Raw genomic sequence first — 7151 nt, 5'->3', positions numbered from 1 at the left:
CTAGGATTACAATGACCTTTTTGTACTAATGTTTTGTTTTTCCCAGACTTAACCCTTCCTTCCTTCTTTCTATTTTCCTTTCTCTCTTTTTTCCGGATTTACTTGTTTTTCTTTCTTAATTTTCTTGTGAGGCAGACTAGTAGTTTCTGGAGCCCCATTCCTTGGGTTCAAAACCATCTCTGCCCCTCGCTAGCTGGGTAAGCTTGGGCAAGTTACTTCCCGTTTCAGAGCCCCCATTTTTTCATCTATACAGTGAGATTGATAATGGGATGGCCTTACAGGATTGTGATGAGAATTAAATGAGTTAACATAAGTGAAGCACATAGAACATAGTTGGGTCTTCTCTTTTTTAATCTGCTTTGATAATACCTGCCTTTAAGTGGAAGTTTAATGCATTAAAGTTTAATGTAATTATCAGTATGGTTAGAATTAGGCCTACCATTTTATTTGTTTTCTAATTGTCACCTCTCTTTTTTACTTCTGTTTCCCTGCTTCTGCCTTCTTTGGAATTATTGTAATAATTTGTCTTTTGAATTTTTAGATATCACTATACACAGTTTATTTACTTTTATTTTTTATTCTTAGTGATTGCTCTAGGGATTACAAAATCCATTTTTTACTTTGCACAGTCTACTTACAGTTAATATTGTACAATTTCATAAAAATTATGGAAATCTTGCAACTATTTTGATTCATTTACTACCTTACTGCCATCCTTTTTGCTGCAATTGTCATGTTTTTCATTTACATATGTTATAAACCTCACAATATTATAATTTGCAGTTTAAATAGTCATATATGTTTTAAGAAAATTAAGAGAAGAAATAATCGTAAAGACAGCCATTCAGAGAAGAGGAGATCACAACCCCAAGTTTCTGTTTCACAGATAAGGTAGTTGCTCACACATATGCCTGCAAAATAAATGAGACAGGATCCCTCTTCCCATTCCACATCACTACCTTTTTCCCCTAGGTTGCCCCTGTTGACTGCATTTGTTATTCAAAGTCATTCTCGAACTTCATTGTAGCTAGATCTCACCTGGAAAATCCTAGTAGGAAGAGAGGAAAAGTGTAGTTTGAGCTGACTTTGCCCCACACCTTCCTAGACAATATCCTACTTTGAAAATTCACTCCTTAAATGACAGTCTCTTTCTGGATGACACCATAATGTTATTAGTTGCTTTTCAATGAAGCAAAGTGTATTAGTTTGTTTTCATGCTGCTGATAAAGACATATCCGAGACTGAGAAGAAAAAGAAGTTTAATTGGACTTACAGTTCCACATGGCTGGGAAGGCCTCAGAATCATGATGGGAGGTGAAAGGCACTTTTTACATGGTGGCAGCAAGAGAAAATGAGGAAGATGCAAAAGCAGAAATCCCTGATAAAACCATCAGATCTCATGAGACTTATTCACTAGTACAAGAACAGTAGTGTGGGGTATGAAACCGCCCCCATGATTCAAATTATCTCCCACTGGTCTCTCCCACAACACGTGGGAATTATGGGAGTACAATTCAAGATGAGATTTGGGTGGGAACACAGAGCCAAACCGTATCACAAAGTAACCCAAAGTCTTATCAAAGACAATGAAGATATGAGTTTTGATTGTATCAAGCTGTGGGGTGGGGTCGGGGGAAGATTGCACTACATTTTTCAATGAACTTTTCCTTCCAAATGACTTCCAGTGTATTCTTTCCTAAAGATCAGTGATTGTAAACCCACCTTAGCTAGACCTGTGTGGGTTTCAGCAAATCCATCTCTAGACCCCAGAAGCAACCCTACATCCATGAGAGAACAATAAAAATAACGTTTCAAAAACATATCTCCAAGTATTCTATACATATATCCTATGCCATCACTACCTCAAGGAGAGATATCTTTTGCCCTGTCTTTAAAACTATAGTAAAATGGGCCAGGAATTTAGTAAAATTTCTTTTTTTAATTTGTGGGTACACAAATGGTCCCCAGTCATTCTTAGGAAATTGATGCCATTGAACATCTGGGCTCACCTTCGTTTCCTAAACAAGTAAGCAAATCAGATTCCGAAAACAAAGCTCTTCACCTGAGTTATCTTTCTCTCTCTCTTAGCCTTCTCCTTTACTGACCTCCCCTTTATATGTGACAATTAATTTATATTTATGAGGACTATAACGCAGGTTTTATTCATGCTTGGGCTTCAGCTTTTCTTATTAATCTTTGCTTTTGCAAAGTTTCTAGGTAATCTTTACTTTGGCCCCAGGGTTTTAAGCTTTTCTCTTGATAGCCTCTTGCCCTGGATTACTCTGTTTTCTATTTTATGGCATCAGTGTTTACTTTCCTTTCCTCCCTAACTATGAATCTGAACTTTCCGCTCTTGTGACTTCACCTTTATACATCTCCCTATCTTTACTTTCCTCCTATTTTATTTTTCTCCAGTGGTTTTATCATCTGGAAAGGTGTCAAAATAGTGTTAACATTACTCAACACCTAGTCTCTTCCATGCACCATCAGCTGAATTTAGTCACATTAAAGTCTAATTACAGAGCTAAATGGATTATGACTACATACTCTACTGCTTTGGTCTGTGAAGTGTATTTTCAGTAAGGTGAAAACTTGCCACATTACCTAGGAAGAAGTTTAAAAAAAAAGATGCTAACTCTTCAGCTAACATAGTACTCATTTTTTCATTTGTTGAATATTTATAGAGCTCCTATTATGTGCTAGACATCTGTTGAACTTTTATTATGTGCAAATTATTGAGAATATACTGAAGAATAAAATAAACATAGACTCTGCCCTTAAGGAGCTTAAAGTCTAGATGGGGTTAGGACAATAAACAAGCAAATGCATCCATATATGCTTTAAAATCATGGTGAGTGAATGAAGGACAAAAATAGAGTGACGTGGTTGAGAATAACACCAGAACACATTGGGTGGTCAGTAGAGCTGCCAGATCTGTCAAATAAAAATACAGGATGCCCAGTTAAGTTTGAATTTCAGATAAACTGTGAGCACATTTTTGGATGGGCATGCCCCATGTAATTTTTGGGACTTAGGCAGAATAAAAATGTATTCGTTTGTTATCTGAAATTTAGATTTAACCGGGTATCCTGTATTTTATCTGGTAACCTGGCTGGTCAGGAAAGGCCTCTCTGGAGAGGTGACATTTGAACTGGTAACTGAAGGATGACTAGTGGGCTGACAAAAGAGCTTTGAAGACCCCAAGAGTGAGAACTGGACACATTAGGGGCGTGGGCTGGGACAAGGGCCGCTGATTGGCGTGGAGCCGTGGGCAGAGGCCAGATCATGCAGGGCTCTCTAGGCCATGGTAAAGAGGGTGAATTTTATTTGAAATATACTGCAAAGCCTTTGAAGCATCTTAAGCATGGAAATGGGGTGGTAGATCAAATTTTGATATGAAAATGATTATTCTAGCTGCAGCATGGAGAAAATATTGGAGGGGTGAGAGGGGAAGTGAGGAGAAAAGCGAGATGGGTATTGCTGTTGTCCAGGGAGGGATAACAGTTGTTGGGGTGAAGGTGGAGATGACATGGGTAGATTGGAGGTAATTTTGTAGGCAGAACTGACTGTAGTTGCTCAGGTACTAGATATGGAAAGCAGTGAGGGAGAAGGGGGAAACATCCATAATGACTCTTGTTTAAAATGGAGCACCTACATGGGCTGAGGAGCCAGGCCTGAGATGAGTGAGACAGGAGGAACTATGAGGGGGATGGACTGGGGTGAGGTGACCAGGAGCTCAGAATCACAAGGGTTAAGGTTCTGCCAACCATGAGACATCCAGTGGCCACCAACACTGAAACATGCACAGATCTGTGTGGTTCATTCATGGCTCACACCTGTGTTATCTCATTTGACACGGCACTTCCTTAAGTTGGGTGTTATTTAATTCCTGAAGCCCTAAGCTGGTATTATTATACCTGAACCCCAAACGATCCTTGCTTGGCACCTCGCTTGGGCCCCAGTGATTTGGGCCCTGAGTGGTGTATGATGTCTGTGGCTTCTTAACTGGTGGAAGTTTCCTTTCTTCTGTAAAACCAGTTTATCAGGGTCTTCTAATATGTAGATCAGAATTGAGCCAGTGCTCTGTCTGATAATGCTGTCTGCACACTGGACTTCAATGGAACCAGCTATTTGTTGTGTCAGTTTTAGGAAATGTTAAGTACCAAGCGACAACCCACCCTCTGACCTCCCACCATGTCATGAACTCCTGGGGTTATTTATGGGTAACAAAAGTCTTCATGATAGAGAAACTCTGATTTTCCATATATGTATATGTATATGTATATGTATATGTATATGTATATGTATATGTATATGTGTGTGTATATATATGGATTTTCCATATATGTATGTGTGTGTGTGTATATATACATATATGTATATGTATATGTGTGTGTATATATATATCTCCATATATATACACATATATGTACATATATAACTCCATATATACATACATATCTCATATATATACATATATATCTCCATATATACATATATATATCTCCATATATATACACATATATATCTCCATATATATACACATATATATCTCTCCACATATATCTCCATATATATATATGGAGTTTATTAAGGAATATTAACTCAAATGATCACAAGGTCCCATAACAGGCCATCTGCAAGCTGAGGAGCAAGGAAGCCAGTCTGAGTCTCAAAGCTGAAGAACTTGGAGTCTGATGTTCAAGGGCAGAAAGCATCCAGCACAGGAGAAAGATGTAGACTGGGAGTCTAAGCCAGTCTAGCCTTTTCACGTTTTTCTGCCTGCTTTAAATTCTAGCTGTGCTGGTAGCTGAGTAGATGGTTCCCACCCAAATTTAAGAGTGGGTCTGCCTTTCCCAGTCCACTGACTCAAATGTTAATCTCCTTTGGCAACACCCTCACAGACACACCCAGGAACAATACTTTGCATCCTTCAATGCAATCAAGTTGACACTCAGTATTAACCATCACAGCCTGGAATTTGCAGCAGCCACCAGTTTGCCATTCTGAGAGAAGTCAGCCTGAGGCAAAGCCATAACATACGGGAAAGCAGAGTCGAGAGAATTGCAGAGAAACATAGCTGGACCTCAGAGAACACCATGAACCTTTGGATCAGACCACGTCTGCAGGTTACATACCTGTAAAATATTTTAGTTATGTCAGCAATAAGTTCCTTTATTGTTTAAGCCACTTTGAGTGAGCTTTTTTTCCTCCTTGCAACCTGGCTTCTTCCAGACTCAGAAATCTGATTTTTCAGCCCCTGAGCAAAGATATATCTTACCATAGACAGTCTCACAAAAACCAGTATTTTTCTCTTGAGTCATTGCACATGCAATGCCCAATTGTAATGAGAAGATTGCTTGATGTACATGGGATCAGAGAAAGGGGAGTTATTTATATGAGTTGAATGTTTTATGACATTAAGATATTCTGAGATATCCAGTTTTCATTCCTGAAACCAGTTGGAGTCCTAAGAACTGATGAAGTCCTTAGGGAGCACTGTCCTAGAGAGTATGGATGCCACATTAATCAGTATCAGCAAGGTTATGCTGCAGTGACAAACTACCCTCCAAATCTCAGGAGCTTAAAACAACCAAAGCTTATTTCATCCTTATGCTGTCTGTCCACCATAGGTTGGTTTGGGGCTCTTCTCTGAGATGTTCTTACTCAAGGATCCTGGCTGATGGAGATGTCACCCTTTCGAATGTTATTGGTTGCTGTGGCAGAAGAAAAGAGGTCTCTAGAAAATCTAGTTAAATCTTCCAGCCTAGAAGCAACACGTTATTTCCATTCACAACTTATTGGCCAAATTAAATTGGCTATTTAACTAAATAGCTCTACTTCAACCACAGGAAGTCCAGAAAATGCAGTTTTACTATGTGTTTGAAAGGAGAGAGCCAGAAAGTATTTGGCAAACAGAACTACCTTGACTTCTGTAGACCTCCTTTTGTCCTGGTTTTTATGACTGCACAACTTCTTTTTTTGATTGACTCATAATTCATGTACGGTAATAGATTTAGTTAGGTTACAGTCAACTAATGAAGGCATAGGAGGCGTTTTGTCCTTGTTAGATGACATTGCATATCTCTGTTCTGATTCATCATTACACATACAATAATGTAATCCTGTAAATTCTCTATGGATGAGAATACTGTTGGTTAGGTCATTCAGTCCTTTGCTTGTCTAAGACTATGTTGTCAAATTTTCTACCACCTCACCACCTTTTCTCTAAATCATTGAAAAAGTGTATTTCTCTGAAGTGTGATTATGTTAGCTTGACCAGTGGTCTTCAAATAACTTTGCTCACATTCCAACTAAAAGAATTGTGAAAAATTATGCACTTTAAATAGAATTATCAGCTGATTGATCGTAATAAGTAGTTACTGATGTTATAATACTATGTGACTTTTGTAATATAATTCAGAAGGATTTTAAATAATTGAACAGTATTGTATAACAACACAGAAGGCAAGCGATACCACTTCAAGAAAGGCAGAGACACCATTACCTACCCAGGAGAATGGCTCAGCGTGAGGTAATTATTTTCCATCATTTTCTTCCCTAGGTGCATTTGCTAAGGCTGAGCATGGGCTAAGGCCTGGTCTCAGCCCAGGTAGAGGGAATATCCTGGGGAAAGATAAACCAGGCATTTGCATGGAGAATTCAAGCACACAGCCGGTTTTTCCACCGTTAACTAAATTCTGATGTGGTGTGAGAAGGTGACAGGGTAGGCTGGGAGCTTCTAAAAGCAAAATAACGTCTCTCAAAGACTCATGATGCTTAGGAGGCAAAGTCCTACTAAAGGAAAGAAGCCTGCTATAAATACCTAGCCAGCGTTCCCTTCAGGACTGTGGCCAGATTTATTTTTGAAGTAGACTTTACTGGCCGGGCGCGGTGGCTCACGCCTGTAATCCCAGAACTTTGGGAGGCTGAGGCAGGCAGATCACGAGGTCAGGAGGTCTAGACCGTCCTGGCTAACAGAGTGAAACCCCGTCTCTACTAAAAATACGAAAAATTAGCTGGGCGTGGTGGTGGGCACCTGTAGTCCCAGCTACTCGGGAGGCTGAGGCAGGAGAATGGCATGAACCAGGGAGGTGGAGCTTGCAGTGAGCTGAGATTGTGTCACTGCACTCCAGCCTGGGTGACAGAGT

The 7151-nt window shown here is 39.5% G+C and overlaps 1 annotated feature.

The window, feature by feature from the left end:
* Nucleotides 5491-6690: an enhancer, noted in NCBI's record as "P300/CBP strongly-dependent group 1 enhancer chr10:119739304-119740503 (GRCh37/hg19 assembly coordinates)". NCBI's record gives its function as "activates an origin of replication core promoter dependent on BRD2, BRD4, P300/CBP, MED14 and CDK7 cofactors, with strong dependence on P300/CBP, by STARR-seq in HCT116 cells {active_cell/tissue: HCT116}" and the evidence as "EXISTENCE:reporter gene assay evidence [ECO:0000049][PMID:35650434]".

The sequence above is a fragment of the Homo sapiens genome, chromosome 10, assembly GCF_000001405.40.
Source record: "Homo sapiens chromosome 10, GRCh38.p14 Primary Assembly".
NCBI classification, from domain to species: domain Eukaryota; kingdom Metazoa; phylum Chordata; class Mammalia; order Primates; family Hominidae; genus Homo; species Homo sapiens.
The sequence above is the reverse complement of the archived record's forward strand: the minus strand, read 5'-3'. Positions and strand labels throughout refer to the sequence as shown.